At 48.8% G+C, this 18,185-nt stretch overlaps 4 annotated features.

Moving 5' to 3' along the window:
- Positions 5,120–5,289: an enhancer, noted in NCBI's record as "active region_29067". NCBI's record gives its function as "activates an Ori minimal core promoter by ATAC-STARR-seq in GM12878 lymphoblastoid cells {active_cell/tissue: GM12878}" and the evidence as "EXISTENCE:reporter gene assay evidence [ECO:0000049][PMID:35858748]".
- Positions 7,586–7,635: a silencer, noted in NCBI's record as "silent region_20320". NCBI's record gives its function as "represses an Ori minimal core promoter by ATAC-STARR-seq in GM12878 lymphoblastoid cells {active_cell/tissue: GM12878}" and the evidence as "EXISTENCE:reporter gene assay evidence [ECO:0000049][PMID:35858748]".
- Positions 7,676–7,775: a silencer, noted in NCBI's record as "silent region_20321". NCBI's record gives its function as "represses an Ori minimal core promoter by ATAC-STARR-seq in GM12878 lymphoblastoid cells {active_cell/tissue: GM12878}" and the evidence as "EXISTENCE:reporter gene assay evidence [ECO:0000049][PMID:35858748]".
- Positions 11,525–11,624: an enhancer, noted in NCBI's record as "active region_29068". NCBI's record gives its function as "activates an Ori minimal core promoter by ATAC-STARR-seq in GM12878 lymphoblastoid cells {active_cell/tissue: GM12878}" and the evidence as "EXISTENCE:reporter gene assay evidence [ECO:0000049][PMID:35858748]".

Below are 18,185 nucleotides of genomic sequence, written 5' to 3' on the forward strand. Positions count from 1 at the left end.
CCACCTCCCAGGTCAAGTGATTTTCCTGTCTCAGCTTCCTGAGTAGCTGGGATTACAGGCGGGCGCCACCACACCCGGCTGATTTTTGTATTTTTAGTAGAGACAGGGTTTCACTATGTTGGCCAGGCTGGTCTTGAACTCCTGACCTCAGGTGATCCACCCACCTAGACCTCCCAAAGTGCTGGGATTACAGGCGTGAGCCATCGCGCCTGGCACATCATGTTTTTATACAAAAGCATCACACCATATATATTGTTCTGCAAGATGTCCTTTCCTTCAGCAGCATACCTTGGAAATCCCCACGTTTGAAAGCCTGAATCTACCTCATTCTTTTTAACTTTAGTCTGGCATTCCGTAGCACGTGTAAACTAAAATGTACTTTTTTTTTTTTTTGAGATGGAATCTCGCTCTGTCACCCAGGCTGGAATGCAGTGGCGCGATCTCAGCTCACTGCAACCACTGCCTCCTGGGTTCAAGTGATTCTCCTGCCTCAGCCTCCTGAGTAGCTGGGACTACAGGCACACGCCACTACGCCCAGCTAATTTTTGTATTTTTAGTAGAGATGAGGTTTCACCATGTTGGCCAGGATGGTCTCCATCTCTTGACCTCGTGATCCACCCACCTCAGCCTCCCAAAGTGCTGGGATTATAGCCGTGAGCCACCACACCCAGCCACTAAAATGTATTTAATGGAGCCCTCGATTATTTATCTTCTGCTGCATAACAAATTACCTCAAAACCTAACAGCTTAGGACGGCAAATATTTATTCTCTTAAAGATTCCAGGAGTCAGGAATTTAGGAACGACCCTAGACGGGCGGTCTGGCTCAGGGTCTCTCCCTGGCTGTGGGCTGTGGCCGCAGTCTCCTGAAGGGACTGGGATCTGCTTCCAGGCTCACCCGTGATTGTTACAGGCCTCAGTTCCTTGCTATCTGATGTCCCCGTGATGTGACAGTGGCTTCGCACAGAGTGAGCACTGAGAGAGCCCCAGATAAAAGTGCAGTCTTTATGGCCTGGTGTGGTGGCTCACGCCTGTAATCCCAGCACTTTGGGAGGCCAAGGCGGGTAGATCACCTGAGGTTAGGAGTTCGAGACCAGCCTGGCCAACATGGTGGTCTCTGCTAAAAATTAAAAAATGAGCTGAGGGTGGTGGCAGGAGCCTGCAATCCCAGCCACTCAGGAGGCTGAAGCAGGAGAATCGCTTGAGCCCAGGAAGTGAAGGCTGCAGTGAGCCAAGATCGCACCACTGCACTCCAGACTGGGCAACAGAGTAAGAATCTGTCTCAAAAAAAAGAGAAAGTGCAGTCTTTTATAAGCGCATCTTAGAAGTGAAAGCACAGCAGCAGAGCATCCTGCCGTTGGTCACTCAGACCAGCTCTGGCCCAATGAGGGAGGGGCTTCCTGAGCCCTTGAATCCCAGAAGTCCAGGATCAGCGGGGCTTTTTTTTTTTTTTTTTAAATAAAGTTTTTTTTTTTTTATTTTTTTTTCATAGAGATGGGGTCTCTCTATGTTACCCAGGCTGGTCTCAAACTCATGGGCTCAAGCAATCCTCCCACCCTACCTCCCAAAGTGCCAGGATTACAGGTGTGAGCCACCTTGCACAGGCTGTTTTTCTTTCCTAGAAACAGGGTCTCCCTCTGTTGTAGTGGTGTGATTATAGCTTCCTGCAGTCTCAAATTCCTGGGCTCAAGTGATCCTCCCGCCTCAGCCTCCCAAGTAGCGAGGACCACAGGTGCACGCCACCACGCCCGCACCTTTCCATTCTAAACCCAGCTGCAGGGAACATCCTTGCTGGCTTCCCTTTGCTCACCTGTGAAAGGTGGGAGGGGGTGTTCCCTATGGCAGTTTACAAGCATCAGCTCATGGAATTCTCATCACACCACTCTGGTGAAACAGATTCAAATGTGCATTTGGCAGAGGAAGGGGTTGGATTCCGTGATTGCTGGGCCCTTCAAGGATTCATAGTGCCCTCGGGAACAGAGCCGTCTTGGTCTAGATAGGCTTTTTCAGTGGGAGGAGAGGGTCAAGGAAGCTGAGAAGTGGAGATGAACCGTAGTAATGCTAGCCTCACACCTGGACCTTCTTCGGTAAATGAAAGGTGGGGCAGGGCCACCACCCCATCACACAGAGGAGGAAACTGAGGTTCAGAGAGGGGCAGAGACTTGTCTCAGGCTGCACAGCTGATCAGTGACAGAACCAGGAATCACAGCCAAGTCCCCGACCTCCAGAGCCTTCTCCTAGGTTCTCACCAGGCACTGGGCCAGGCACAGAGCACACATCAGCTTGCCAGTCCCCACAGAAGCCACAGCCTTACTCTTCCTCCCATTTGTTTGTTGTTGTTGTTGTTGTTGTTAAGATAGTGTTTCACTCTGTCACCCAAGCTGGAGTGCGGTGGCATGATCACAGCTCACTGCAGCCTCGACCTCCAGGGCTCAAGCAATCCTCCCACCTCAGCCTCCCAAGTAGCTGGGACTGCAGGCTACACACCCAGCTAATTTTTGTATGCTTTGTAGAGACGGGGGTCTCGCCATGTTGCCCAGGCTGGTCTCGAACTTCTTGGCTCAAGCAATCCTCCCTCCCCAGCCTCCCAAAGTGCTGGGATTACAGGCATGAGCTACCGTGCCGGGCCTCTTCCTCCCATTTGATAGCAGAAGAAACTGAGGCTCGGAGACACTAGGTGTGGAACACCGCAGGCACCATGCATGCTGAGCACCGTAGCCATGTGCAGGCAGGAGCTGCTGTGGCCCCTGTGTCTGGGGCAGACGAGAGAGGAAGGAAAGAGGAGGCACGGCCTCGCATGAGAGATTAACTTGCGATGCCTCATTATCGCAAATTCATATCTTTGAGGCAGAACCAGAAACAGGATGTGGGTTCCCCTTTAAGGGGCTGGTGCCTCACATTGACAGGTACCATGGGACACATGTGAGCATCATGGGACAGGTAGTGTCGGTAAGAGGTTGGCACCCAGGCTTTGGAGTCAACAGGCTCCTGGCTGTGTGACTGCAGATTCGTGGCTTGACCTCTCTGGGCTTCTGAATAGCACGGGTTGTTAGGCCTGGTGGAACAGTGCTCAATAAATAGTGACAAGGTACTGAGCACTCCAACAAGTGTTGGAGGCAGGGGCAATTATTTGCCAAAAGAGGCAAAGCCTGTGGAGCGGCCTGGCCAGCTTTACCCCCGTCCCTGCTGCCACATCCATCCGCGGTCCTCTGCCCGAGCCCAGCCCTACCAAGCAAACACACCATCAAGAGGAGGCAGGTTGCTATGGCAGTACAGCTTCTGGAAAGGCCCTGGCCTCCCACACAATATCCCTCCACTGTGGTGGCCCCAGGCTTTTCCTGTGGAGGCTTCTGAGGTTGCTCCAGCCTGAGGCCAGCCTGGCCCAGATGCTGACCCAGACACAGCTGTGTTCACATGACACGGGTTTGCCGAGTACCTACCAGGTTCACATGAGCAGGACAGGCAAGGGCCACCCTGCCCTTCCCTCCTCCCAGGGCTCGACCTGGGCCCTGTAAGTGTCACTTGCATTTAGGAGCTACAATACAGCTCTCAGGAATGTCCTGAGTGTCAGGATGACAGGAAGAAAGGGAGAGCCCAGGTTCAAGAAAAGGACACTGGATTGGGTGTTAAAGGCCCATGTCTCGGCCTAACTCAGCCTTAGTGTCTCTGTGGTTGTGAGCAAACACCCATTTCTCTCTGGGTGTTTAGAACTGAGGGGAGTACATGGAGTTCTTTCAAACTAGTCAAAACAGAAGCCGAGCTGTGCACTCAGGAGGCAGGCAGCCCCTTGTTTTGGACTATCGTCTATCACTTACTCGCTGGGTGGCTTAAAGGAAGTTACTCAACATCTCTGAGCCATTTCCTCATCTCAAACTTTTGAATAACAATCCAAGGTTATTCAGAATACTAAATGAAGGCCAGGCATGGTGGCTCACATCTGCAATCCCAGAACTTTAGGAGGCCGAGGTGGGTGGATCACTTGAGGCCAGGAGTTCAAGACCAGCTAGGGCAACATAGCAAGACCTCAGCTCGGCAAAAATTTTTTAAAAATTAAGTCAACAAATAAATAATAGAATACTAAATGGGAACATTTACAGTGCTTAGAACACTTACAGTAGGAGCTCAATACATAGCAGCTGTTGCAATTAGCTCATTTTTTTCTTTAAAATAATTTCCACTTTATCAAAATAATACCATACATCAGTGAATCTGAGGCATCACCAATAGTAAGATGCACCATGATTCATGTGCTGTCCAGAGAAAACACTGCCAATTATAGTGGTCAGGTGCACCACTGATTATAGAAAGATTTATCTTGATTTTAAAGATGTTAAAATGGGCCAGGCATGGTGACTCACTCCTGTGATCCCAGCACTTTGGGAGGCTAACGCGGGTGGATCACCTGAGGTCAGGGGTTTGAGAACAGCCTGACCAACATGGCGAAACCGTGTCTCTACTAAAAATACAAAACTTAACTGGGCATGGTGGCAGGCACCTGTAATCCCAGCTACTCGGGAAGCTGAGGCAGGAGAATCGCCTGAACCCAGGAGGCAGACGTTGCACTCCAGCCTGGGCAACAGAGGGAGACTCCATCTCAAAAATAAATAAATAAATAAATAAGTAAAGAAAGAAAGATGTTAAAATGTGAATACTTTGGCATCTTAGAATTGGTGTTTTGTAGTTTGGCCGGGCACGGTGGCTCACGCCTGTAATCCCAGCACTTTGGGAGGCCAAGGCGGGCGGATCACGAGGTCAGGAGATCGAAACCGTCCTGGCTAACACGGTGAAACCCCGTCTCTACTAAAAATACAAAAAAATTAGCCAGGCGTGGTGGCGGGCACCTGTAGTCCCAGCTACTCAGGAGGCTGAGGCAGGAGAATGGCGTGAACCTGGGAGACGGAGCTTGCAGTGAGCCGAGATCGCGCCACTGCACTCCAGCCTGGGCAACAGTGAGACTCTGTCTCAAAAAAAAAAAAAAAAAAAAAAGAATTGGTGAAATAGCATACGTGCAGGGAAAGCAAAATAAACTTACCCTAAAGGCAGATAACATGCAGTGGTTTCCTGTCTGCCTCCCCAATCTCCCCACGCCGCCTCCCTAGAAGCAACCACTTTTGGCTCTGTGAGCAGTTTCTTTCCAGCACTTACACATTTTATATTTCTAAATAATAAGCACATGCTGCTATCTTTGGGCAGATTTGTTTTAGCCCTGTCGCCTGTCTACCCTCCGCTATCTACCAACCACCCAGTACGACGAAAGAGGAGTCGTCCACTGTGGAAGTCATGTGGCCTTTTAGAGTTAAATCACTAGTCACATCTCAGATTTGTCCATTTCTCTACGTATGTATTTTATTTGTTTTTTCTTCTCCTTTTTTCTTTTTTTAGATGGAGCCTCGCTCTGTCACCCAGGCTGGAGTGCAGTGGTGCTATCTCAGCTCACTGCAACCTCTGCCTCCCAGGTTCAAGCGATTCTCCTGCCTCAGCCTCCCGAGTAGCTGGGACTAAAGGTGCGCACCACTGCACCCAGCTAATTTTTGTATTTTTAGTAGACACGGAGTTTCACAATTTTGGCCAGGCTGGTCTCGAACTCCTGAACTTGTGATCTGCCCGCCTCGGCCTCCCAAAGTGCTGGGATTACAGATGTGAGCCACCGCACCCAGTCCCTTTTATTCTCCTTTTTGAGACAAAGTCTTGCTCTGTTTCCCAGACTGGAATGCAGTGATGCGATGACAGCTTACTGCAGCCTCAACCTTCCAGGCTCAAGCAATCGTCCTGCCTCAGCCACCTGAGTAGCTGGGACTACAGGCTCGTGCCCCTGTGCCCAGCTAATTTTTTAAAAAATATATTTTTGGGCCAGGCGTGGTGGCTCACGCTTGTAATCCCGGCACTTTGGCAGGCCAAGGCGGGCGGATCACCTGAGGTCAGGAGTTTGAGACCAGCCTGATCAACATGGAGAAACTCCGTCTCTACTAAAAATACAAAAATTAGCCAGGCATGGTGGCACATGCCTGTAATCCCAGCTACTCGGGAGGCTGAGGCAGGAGAACCTAAAATATATATATATATATATATATTTGTGAAGTCAGGGTCTCACCATGTTGTCCAGGCTGATATCAGACTCCTGGGCTCAAGCAAACCTCCGGCCTCAGCTTCCTGAAGTGCTAGGATTACAGGCATGAGACACCATGCCCAGCCTTATGAAGAAGAGTGATTTTTAAAATTGAGGTATCACTCTTCAGTATTCACATAAGTTTTTTTGTTTGTTTGTTTGTTTCGGAGCCGGAGTCTCGCTCTGTTGCCAGGCTGGAGTGCGGGATTACATTCGTGAGCCACCTCGCCGGGCCAAGTTTTTTATGTAACCATTTTTCATAACTAAGCATTGCATGTATTTCCTTTCTTACTCTATTTTTTTCTGAAATTAATAATTCCTTTTTATTACAGCTTTATTGACATATGATCAATAAGCTGCACATATTTAAAATGTACAGTTTGGGCCGGGCATGGTGGCTCAAGCCTGTAATTCTAGCACTTTGGGAGGCCGAGGCGGGTGGGTCACCTGAGGTCAAGAGTTTGAGACCAGCCTGGCCAACGTGGGGAAACCTCGTCTCTACTAAAAATACAAAAATTACCCAGACGTGGTGGCGCAGGCCTGTAATCCCAGCTGCTCGGGAGGCTGAGGCAGGAGAATCACTTGAACCTGGGAGGCGGAGGTTGCAGTGAGCCAAGACTGCACCACTGTACTCCAACCTGGGTGACAGAGCAAGACTCCGTCTCAAAAAAAAAAAAGGTGCAGTTTGGGCCAGGTGTGGTGACTCACACCTGTAATCTCAGCACTTTGAGAGGCCAGGGCAGGCAGATCACCTGAGGTCAGGAATTCGAGACCAGTCTGGCCAACATGGTGAAACCCCGTCTCTACTAGAAACCCTGTCTCTACTAAAAATACAAAAATAAAAATAAAAATAAAAAAATTAGCTGGGCGTGGTTGTGCGTGCCTGTAATCCCAGCTGAGGCAGGAGAATTGCTTGAACCGAGGAGGCGGAGGTTGCAGTGAGCCGAGATCACTCCAGCCTGGGTGACAGAGCAGCCTCCGTCTCAATAAATAAATAAATAAATAAAATATACAGTTTAAGTTTTGACATATGTGACCACCTGGGAATCCAGCACCACTGTGAAGATGGTGAACGTCTCCACAACATCATTAATTCCTCGTGCCCCTTGGTAATCCTTTCCTTCCCACCCTCCCTGACCACCGACCTCATCCGGCAACTGCTGATCTACTTGTTGGTATAGATGAGTTTGCATTTTCTGAAATTTTGCATAAATGGAATCATGCAGTATGTACTTTGATTCCTTTTCCCTCAGCATCATTATTTCGAGATTCATCTATTAGTTGTGTGTATCCATAGCTTACTCCTTTTTATTACTGAGTAGTGTTCTATTATGGCACCCATTGTGGGAGGGACACACCACACTGGGGTGTGGTGTGGGAGGGAGCCACTCACCTGTGGCTGGGCTTTGAGGTTGTTTATGCCTACTATGAGTAAAGCTGCCATGAACGTTACTGATTGAGGCCTCCGATAGGCATATGTTGTCTTTCGTTTTGGGTGAATGCCTAAAAATGGATTTGTGGGTTTACCCTTTTTTTTTTTTTTTTTTTTGAGACCGAGTCGCACTCTGTTACCCAGGCTGGAGTGCAGTGGCGTGATCTCACTTCACTGCAACCTCAGCCTCCCAGGTTCAAGCGATTCTCCCGCCTCAGCCTCCCAAGCCCAAGTAGCTAGGACTACAGGCCTGAGCCACCATGCCCGGCTAATTTTTGTATTTTTAATAGAGATGGGGTTTCACCATGTTGGTCTCAAACTCCTGACCTCAGGTGATCTGCCCAACTCAGCCTCCCAAAGTGCTGGGATTACAGGTGTGAGCCACCACGCCCAGCCACGGCTTTACCTTTTTAAGAACTGCAAGTGGCTCACACCTGTAATCTCAGGACTTTGGGAGGCCGAGGCAGGTGAATCTCTTGAGCCCAGGAGTTTGAGGTTAACCTGGGCAATGTGGCAAGACTCTGTCTCTGCAACAAAAAATACAAAAATTAGCCAGGCGTGGTGGTGTACTGCCTATAGCCCCAGCTACTCAGGAGGGTGAGGTGGGAGGATCACTTGAGCCCAGGAGGTTGAGGCTGCAGTAAGCCATGATTGTGCCACTGTACTCCAGCCTGGGCAACAGAGTGAGACCCTGTCTGAAACAAACAAACAAACAAAACTGCAAAATTGTTCTCTAAAGTGGTTTTTATGGTCTGGATATCTGTCACCTCCAAGTCTCATGTTAAAATTTAATCTCCAGTGTTGGAAGTGAGGCCTAATGGGAAGTGTTTGGATCATGGGGGCTGATCCCTCATGAATGGCTTGGTGCAGGGTTTTTTGTTTGTTTGTTTGAGATGGAGTCTCGCTCTGTCGCCCAGGCTGGAGTGCAGTGGCATGATCTGGGCTCACTGCAACTTCTGCTCCCGGGCTTAAGCAATTATCCTGCCTCAGCCTCCCAAGTAGCTGGGATTATACGCGTGAGCCACACCTGGCTACATTTTTTTTGTGATTTTAGTAGACACGGGGTTTTACCACGTTGGCCAGGCTGGTCTCGAACTCCTGACCTCAAATGATCTGCCTCCCCTCAGCCTCCCAAAGTGCTAGGATTACAGGCGTGAGCCACCGTGCCTGGCCTAGTCATGGTTTTATTTATTTATTTATTTATTTTTAATTAATTAATTTTTTTTGAGACCAAGTCTCACTTTGTTGCCCAGGCTGGAGTGCAGCGATATGATCTAGACTCACTGCAACCTCTGCCTCCTGGGTTCACGTGGTTCTCCTGCCATAGCTTACTGAGTCTCTGGGACTACAGGCATGAGCCACGATGCCTGGCTAATTTTTGTATTTTTAGTAGAGATGGGGTTTCACCATGTTGGCCAGGCTGGTTTTGAACTCCTGACCTCAGGTGATTCTCCCACCACAGCCTCCCAAAGTGCTAGGTTTACAGGCGTGAGGCACCATGCCCGGCCTATTTATTTATTTTTTATTTTTGAGACAGAGTCTCACTCTGTTGCCCAGGCTGGAGTGCAGTGGCACAATCATGGCTCACTGCAGCCTTGACCTCCCTAGGCTCAGGTGACCCTCCCCCCTCAGCCTCAGGAGTAGCTGGGACTGCAGGTGCACACCTCCAGGCCTGGCTAATTTTTGTATTTTTGGTAGAGACAGGGTTTTTTTTTGTTTTTGTTTTTGTGTTTTTTGTTTTTTGTTTGAGATGGAGTCTCGCTCTGTCGCCCAGGCTGGAGTGCAGTGGCGCAACCTCGGCTCACTGCAACCTCTGCCTCCCGGGTTCAAGTGATTCTCCTGCCTCAGCCTCCCAAGTAGCTGGGACTACAGGCATGCGCCACCATGTCTGGCTAATTTTTTTATTTTTAGTAGAGACAGGGTTTCACCATGCTGGCCAGGCTGGTCTCAAACTCCTGACCTTGTGATCTGCCTGCCTCAGCCTCCCAAAGTGCTGGGATTACAGGCGTGAGCCACTGCACCCGGCCTGAGACAGGGTTTTACAGTGTTACTCAGGCTGGTCTCCAACTCCTGGGCTCAAATAATCTGCTCACCTCAGCCTCCCAACAGTGCTGGGATTACAGGTGTGAGACACCATGTCTGGCCTCATTGTGGTCTTAATGTGTACTTCCCTTATGACTAATAATGTTGAACATCTTTTTCTTTTTTTTTTTGGAGAGAGTCTCACTCTGTCACCCAGGCTGGAGTGCAGTGGCATGATCTCGGCTCACTGCAACTTTCACCTCCCAGATTCAAGCGATTCTCCTGCCTCAGCCCCCGAGTAGCTGGATTACAGGTTTGCACCACCACACCTGCCTAATTTTTGTATTTTTAGTAGAGACGAGGTTTCACCATGTTGGCCAGGCTGATCTCAAACTCCTGACCTTAGGTGATTCGCCTGCTCCTAAAGTGCTGGGATTACAGGCATGAGCCACCACGCCCAGCCATTGAACATCTTTTTATGTGTTTATTGGCTATTCATATATCTTCTTTTGTGAAGAAGCTGTTCAAATATTTTACCCATTTTATTTATTTATTTATTTACCTATTCTAAGACAAGGTCTCACTCTGTCACCCAGGGTGGAGTGCAGTGGCATGATGACAGCTCACCACAGCCTCGACTTCCTGGGCAATTCTCCTGCCTTATCCTCCAGAGTAACTAGGACTACAGGGGTGCCACCACACCTGGCTAGTTTTTGTTTGCTTGTTTGTAGAGAGGGTCTTGCTTTGTTGCTTAAGCTGGTCTCAAATTCCTGGGCTCAAGTGATCCTCCCACCTCCGCCTTCCAAAGTGCTGGGATTACAGGCATGCGCTACCACACTTAGCCTGGCTTTAAAAAATCGTGGCCACAGCTGGGCACGGTGGCTCACGCCTGTAATCCTCGCACTTTGGGAGGCCAAGGCGGGCGGATCTCTTGAGGTCAGGCATTTGAAATCAGCCTGGCCAACGTGGTGAAACCCTGTCCCTACTAAAAATAAAAATAAAATAAAATTTAAAAAATTAGCCAGGCGTTGTGGCAGGCACCTGTAATCTCAGCTACTTGGGAGGCTGAGGCAGGAGAATTGCTTGAACCCGGGAGGCAGAGGTTGCAGTAAGCCGAGATTTCGCCACTGGACTCCAGCCTGGGTGACAGAGTGAGACTCTCTCAAAAAAATAAATAAATAAAAAATAAAAAAATCTTGGCTGGGCATGGTGGCTCATGCCTGTAATCCCAGCACTTTGGGAGGCTGAGGCAGGAGGATTACTTGAGGTCAGGAGTTTGAGACCAGCCTAGCCAACACTGTGAAACCTCATCTCTACTGAAAATACAAAAATTAGCCAGGCATGGTGGCAGGTACCTATAATCTCAGCTACTTGGGAGGCTGAGGCAGGAGAATCGCTGGAACCCGGGAAGTTGTGGTGAGCTGAGATCGCGCCACTGCACTCCAGCCTGGGTGATAAATAAATAAATAAATAAATATATTTTTCATGGTTTTAGTAGGAAGATAAATTAGGCATGTATGATTGCCCCCTCATCTTAACAAGGAATTTCTCTCAGCTCATTTTCTTCAGGGGAGAATTCTCTCCCACCCTGCCTTGCACCTGCTTCTGACCCAAGGACATGGCAGAAGGAGCTAGGAGTTCCAGCTTTCACTCCTGGCTCCAACCCCTCAGTTGTATAGCCTTTGGAAAGTCACTTAATCCTTTTGGGCCTCAGTTTCCCCATCTAGGGAATAAGGGAATGTCATGATCTCAGAGGAGGTGGCACAGTCTGATAGGGAGAGGGCTGTCCCAGGGCTCCCAGCTGCCTCTTGGGCAGGGCAGGTCTAGGCTGTCTGGCCCCCTCAGAGCCTTGACTGTCAGGGCCCAGGCTGAGCAGGCTCCCATGACCCCACTGCGTGGCAGGGAGATTAAGGCCAAGAAAGGGAGGGGGCCAGAATCGCACAGCTTGCCCAGGCAGAATGGGCCCCTGCCTTCTGTTCCTGAGCTTTCTCCCTGCACCAGAGCCATCTCCGGGCTAGACAGGCTGGTAGAACCAGCCACGTCCTCTCCCTGGGGTGGAGGAAGAGCCTGCTCCGCACAGGGCCAGAACTTTCCAGCCATCTCCCTCCAGCCTCACCAGTCCCCACCCAGAGCCTGAAACTCAGGGCTGTCTGTGCCCAGGGCTGCACCTGACTTTGGTTATCTAGCACCACCTACAGGATATATTGAGAACAACATGCCACATGGCTTCAAGCCCCAGATTCCAGAAACTGCTGACTGGGAAGACGCCCATTCATGGATCGCACCTGGTATGCCCGGGCCAGAGCTCTGTGCCCTGCATGAGCCTCTGCCCTGATCTGCACCACAGGCCCTTAAGGCAGGAACTACATTATAGTATTGAATCAATATAACACCCTTTCATAAGGGATACAAATGTAGTTGTTAGATAAAAGGTATAACTTCTGTTGTTCACAGCAGAGTAGAGTGACTACAGATAACAATGTATTGTATATTTCAAAGTAGCTAGAAGAGAGGACATAAATTGTTCCCAACACATAGAAATGATAAATACTCAAGGTGATGGATACCCCAAATACCCTGACCTGGTCATTACATACACTACACTTAAAACAAAAGATCACACATACCCCATAAATATGTAAAATATTATGTATCAATTTAAAATACCTTTTTAGGCTGGGCGCGGTGGTTCACACCTGTAATCTCGGCACTTTGGGAGGCTGAGGCAGGCAGATCACTTAAGGTCAGGAGTTCAAGATCAGCCTGGCCAACCTGGTGAAACCCCATCTCTACTAAAAATATAAAATTAGCTGTGTGTGCTGGTGGGGCAGGGGAGGGGGGACAGGCAGCTATTTGGTTTCTTTCTCTTTCTTTTTTTTTTTTGAGACGGGGTCTTGCTCTGTTGCCCAGGCTGGAGTGCAATGGCGCCATCTCGGCTCACTGCAAGCTCCACCTCCTGGGTTCACGCCATTCTCCTGCCTCAGCCTCCTGAGTAGCTGGTACTACAGGCGACCACCACCACGCCCGACTAATTTTTTATATTTTTAGTAGAGACGAGGTTTCACCGTGTTGGCCAGGATGGTCTCGATCTCCTGATCTCATGATCCACCCGGCTCAGCCTCCCAAAGTGCTGGGATTACAGGCGTGAGCCACCGCACCCAGCCAATCCCAGCTACTTGGGAGGCTGAGGCAGGAGAATGGCTTGAACCCAGGAGGCAGAGGTTGCCGTGAGCCAAGATCATGCCATTGCACTGCAGCCTGGGCAACAAGAGCAAAACTCTGTCTCAAAAAAAAAAAAAAACAAAAAACCGTCAGGGCACAGTGGCTCACGCCTGTAATCCCAGCACTTTGGGAGGCTGAGATGGGTGGATCACCTGAGCTCAGGAGATTGAGAACAGCCTGGCCAACATGGTGAAACTCTGTCTCTACTAAAAATACAAAAATTAGCCAGGCATGGTGGCAGGTGCCTATAATTCCAGCTACTCTGGGGGCTGATGCAGGAGAATCGCTTGAACCCAAGAGGCAAAGGTTGCAGTGAGCCAAGATTGCGCCATTGCACTCCAGCCTGGGTGACAAGAGCAAAACTCCGTCTCAAAAAAAACATAAAATAAAAATAAAAAAACTTTTTAGACACAGGGTCTTGCATTGTCTCCCAGTCTGGAGTTCAGTGGCACAATCTTGGCTCACTGCAGCCTCAGACTCTTGGGCTCAAAGGCTCCTCCCACCTCAGCCTCCTGAGTAGCTGGGACTACAGGCATGCACCACCACACCTGACTAATTTTTTTATTTTTATTTTTTATTTTTATTTTTAGATTGAGTCTTGCTCTGTTGCCCAGGCTGGAGTGCAGTGGCATGATCTTGGCACACTGCAACCTCTGTCTCCTGGGTTCAAGCAATTCTCTGCCTCAGCCTCCTGAGTAGCTGGGATTACAGGTGCCCACCATCACGCCCAGCTAATTTTGGTACTTTTAGTAAAGATGGGTTTCACCATCTTGGCCAGGCTGGTCTCGATCTCCTGACCTCGTGATCCACCTGCCTCGGCCTCCCAAAGTGCTGGGATTACAGGCATGAGCCACCATGCCCGGCCTAATTATTGTATTTTTTGTAGAGATAGAGTCTTGTTATGTTGCCCAGGATGGTCTCAAACTCCTGACCTCAAGCAATCCTTCCCCATCAGCCTCCCAAAGTGCTGGGATTACAGGTTTGAGCCACCATGCTCGGCCAAAAAATATTTTTAAAAAACAAACACAGGCCAGGTGCAGTGGCTCACGCCTGTATTCTCAACACTTTGGGAGGCCGAAGCAGGTGGATCACCTGAGATCAGGAGTTTGAGACCAGCCTGACCTACATGGAGAAACCCCATCTCTACTAAAAGTACAAAAATTAGCCGGGTGTGGTGGCACATGCCTGTAATCCCAGTGACTCTGGACACTGAGGCAGGATAATTGCTTGAACCCAGGAGGTGGAGGTTGCAGTGAGCCGAGATTCCACCATTGCACTCCAGCCTGGGCTACAAAAGCGAAACTCTGTCTCAAAAAATAAAAATTTAAAAAACCAAACACACCTTCCATTGAAGGATGCCATTTTGAAGAATGCCATGTTGAAGGATGTCATTTATTTTTGTGCCACTAAAAAAGAAAAATAAAAACCCTTCCAATTGAAATTGAAATATGACACATTAGCCAGGTGTGGTGGCACACACCTGTAGTCCCAGCTACTCAGGAGGCTGAGGAGGTAGGATCACTTGAGCCCAGGAGTTCAGGGCTGAAGTGAGCTATGATCGTGCCACTGTACTCCAGCCTGAAAGAGAGAATGAGACCGTGTCTCATTTAAAAAAAAAAAAAAAAAAGGCTGGCACAGCGGCTTACACCTGTAATTCTAACACTTCAGAAGGCTGGGGAGAAAGATTGCTTGAGTCCAAGAGTTCGCCAGGCACTGTGGCTCACGCCTGTAATCCCAGTACTTTGGGAGCCTGAGGCGGGTGGATCACGAGGTCAGGAGATCAAGACCATCCTGGTCAACATGGTGAAACCCTGTCTCTACTAAAAATACAAAAAATTAGCTGGGCATGGTAGCACGTGCCCGTAGTCTCAGCTACATGGGAGGCTGAGGCAGGAGGATTGCTTGAACCTGGGAGGCGGAGGTTGCAGTGAGCCAGATCGAGCCACTGCACTCCAGCCTAGCGGCACAGCAAGACTCTGTCTCAAAAAAAAAAAAAAAGAGTTCAAGACAAGCCTGGGCAACAGAGTGAGACCCCCATCTCAATTATATTTTTAAAAACATAAAATTGAAAACAAAACAAACGAAAAAACGGCCGGGCACCGTGGCTCATGCCTGTAACCCCAGCACTTTGGGAGGCCAAGGCAGGCAGATCACTTGAGGCCAGGAATTGGAGACCACTCTGGCCAACATGGTGAAACCCTGTATATACTAAAAATATAATTAGCTGGATGTGGTAGTGTGCGCCTGTAATCCCAGCTACTTGGAAGGCTGAGACAGGAGAATTGCTTGAACTCGGGAAGCAGAGATTGCAGTGAGCCGAGATTTAAAAAAAAAAAAAAACTATTGCTTCCTTATCACTTAGAAACTTTATTTTAGCCAGGCTCGGTGGCTCACGCCTGTAATCCCAGCACTTTGGGAGGCCGAGGTAGGCGGATCACGAGGTCAGGAGTTCGAGACCAGCCTGACCAACATGGTGAAGCCCCGTTTCTACTAAAAATAAAAAAATTAGCTGGGCGTGGTGGCATGCACCTGTAATCCCAGCTACTCAGGAGACTGAGGCAGGAGGATTGCTTGAACCTAGGAGGCAGAGGTTGCAGTGAGCTGAGATCGAGCCACTGCACTCCAGCCTAGGAAACAGAGTGAGACTCCGTCTCAAAAAAAAGAAACTTTATTTTATATTTACCGAAGGCCCTCTTTTAAACTTACTTAAACAGGTAAGGCACTTAAACACACAGGTATTTAAACTTACTTAAATAGGCTTTTATCATCTACTATACATTGTGAATACATAAAAAGGAAATTGCTGGATGAGATGGCTCCTGTCTGTAATTGAAGGTACTTGAGAAGCTGAGGTGGGAGAATCGCTTGAGCCCAGGAGTTTGAGACCAGCCCAAGCAACATGGCAAAATCTCGTCTGTAAAAAAAAATACAAAAATTAGCTGGGCGTGGTAGCATGTGCCTGTAGTCTCCCCTACTCGGGAGGCTGAGGTGGGAGGATCACCTGAGCCCAGGGAGGTGGAGGTTGCGGTGGGTTGTGATGGTGCTGCCGCACTCCAGCCTGGGTGACAGAGTGAGACCTTGTCTCAAAAAGAAAGAAAAATTAGTAGCTATATTATTATTTTTTGAGATGGAGTCTCACTCTGTTGCCCAAACTGGAGTGCAATGGCGTGATCATGGCTCACTGCAACCTCCACCTCCCAGGTTCAAGTGATTCTCATACCTCAGCCTCCTAAGTAGCTGGAATTACAGGCATGTGCTACCACGCCCAGCTAATTTTTGTATTTTTAGTAGAGATGGGTTTTCGCCACGTTGGCCAGGTTGGTCTCAAACTCCTGACCTCAGGTGATCCACCCGCCTTGGCCTCCCAAAGTGCTGGGATTACAGGCGTGAGCCACCGTGCCCAGCCTAAAAAAAAAAAAAAAAAAAAAAAAAAAAAAAGTAAATAAATAAAAAGGAAATTGCAATCAAGGTAATTTAGCGAAGGTGTTCCTAACACTCCACATGCAGAGTCTGACTTTCCCGGGTCAATTTTTCATTCACAGCTGTTGAGTCTGTGCTTTTCCAGACAATCTTGTCCTCAGGAAACGCAGGCTTTCTTCAGAGCACACCACTGCTGTCCCCAATGTCCTTTCAAGCTGCAAGTGTTGATGCACATGTGCAAGCATTGAGGCAGATGGCATAGTTGCCACCCAGTCACAACAATCACAAAATATGTCTTGATTTTAGAGATGGTAACATGGGAAGCGGGGGAAGCACATCTGAGAGTGAATGAAAGATGGTGTCAGCGGTACCTTGTTCAAAAGTACTAGGGCACTCTTTTGTTATAATGTTAGGTGTGTGAGGCCTCAAGAAACAGAATCCCTCTGACCTTTTCCTGCCTTCCTTTCACCTGCCTTAAGGCAGGACTCTAATCTAATCTTCCCCCCAACTTTCTTTTTTAGACAGGATTTTACTCTGTCACCCGGGCTGGAGTGCAGTGGTGCAATCAAGGCTCACTGCAGCCTCAACCTCCTGGGCTTAAGTGATCCTCCCACCTCAGCCTCCTGAGGAGCTGGGACTACAGGTGTACGCCACCATGCCTGGCTAATTTTTTATTTTTTGTAGAGATGAGGTCTCACTAAGTTGCCCAGGCTGGTCTTGAACTACTGGAGGCAAACAATCCTCCTGCCTTGGCCTCCCAAAATGTTGGGATTTCAGGCATGAACCACCTTGCCCCTTCTGATCTTGGATTTTTTTTTTTTAATTATTACACTTTAAGTTTTAGGGTACATGTGCACAATGTGCAGGTTAGTTACACATGTGTACATGTGCCATGCTGGTGTGCTGCACCCATTAACTCGTCATTTAGCATTAGGTATATCTCCTAATGCTATCCCTCCCCCCTCCCCCCACCCCACAACAGTCCCCAGAGTGTGATGTTCCCCTTCCTGTGTCCATGTGTTCTCATTGTTCAATTCCCACCTATGAGTGAGAACATGCGGTGTTTGGTTTTTTGTCCTTGTGCTAGTTTACTGAGAATGATGATTTCCAATTTCATCCATGTCCCTACAAAGGACATGAACTCATCATGTCCTTTGTACATCATCATTTTTTATGGCTGCATAGTATTCCGTGGTGTATATGTGCCATATTTTCTTAATCCAGTCTATCATTGTTGGACATTTGGGTTGGTTCCAAGTCTTTGCTATTGTGAATAGTGCCGCAATAAACATATGTGTGCATGTGTCTTTATAGCAGCTGATCTTGGATTTTAAGGCTCTCCTCCTGTGAGAGGGTCCCACCTCACACCCTGGGGGAAGGAATGACAGCATCATGAAGCTTCCATGAAAACCCAAGAGAACTAGGTTCTAAGAGCTTCCGCATAACTGACCATGCTGAGGTTCCTGGAGGGCAGCTGCCAGGGGAGAGCATGGAAGCTCCACGCTACTTTCCCTGTATCTCGCCCTGTGCATCTCTTCATCTGTATCCTTTGCAATATCCTATATCATAAACCACTAAACACACTTCCCTGAGTCCCGTGAGCCACTCCAGCAAATTAATCAAACCCAAAGAGGGAATCATGGGAACCCCAACTTGAAGCCCATCAGTCAGAAGTTCCAGAGGCCTGAACTTGCTGCTGGTGTCTGAAGTGGGGGTGGTGGGTAGTCTTGGGGACTGATTCTCCAACCTGTGGGATCTGACACTATCTCCAGATAGATGGTGTGCAAAGTGAATTGGAGGACACCTACCTAGTGTCTGATGCTTGGTGCATGGGGAAAACCCCCCAGACATTTGGTCACAGAAGTCTTCTATGTTGATGACTGTTGTGGTGGTTTGAGAGGGTTTTTCCTGAAACAGGCACCTATTCTATGCCAAGCCTGTGCAAGGGGTAAGAGACTGACTCAGCCCTGCCCTGAGGGATATC

Source organism: Homo sapiens, chromosome 9 (genome assembly GCF_000001405.40).
Source record: "Homo sapiens chromosome 9, GRCh38.p14 Primary Assembly".
NCBI classification, from domain to species: domain Eukaryota; kingdom Metazoa; phylum Chordata; class Mammalia; order Primates; family Hominidae; genus Homo; species Homo sapiens.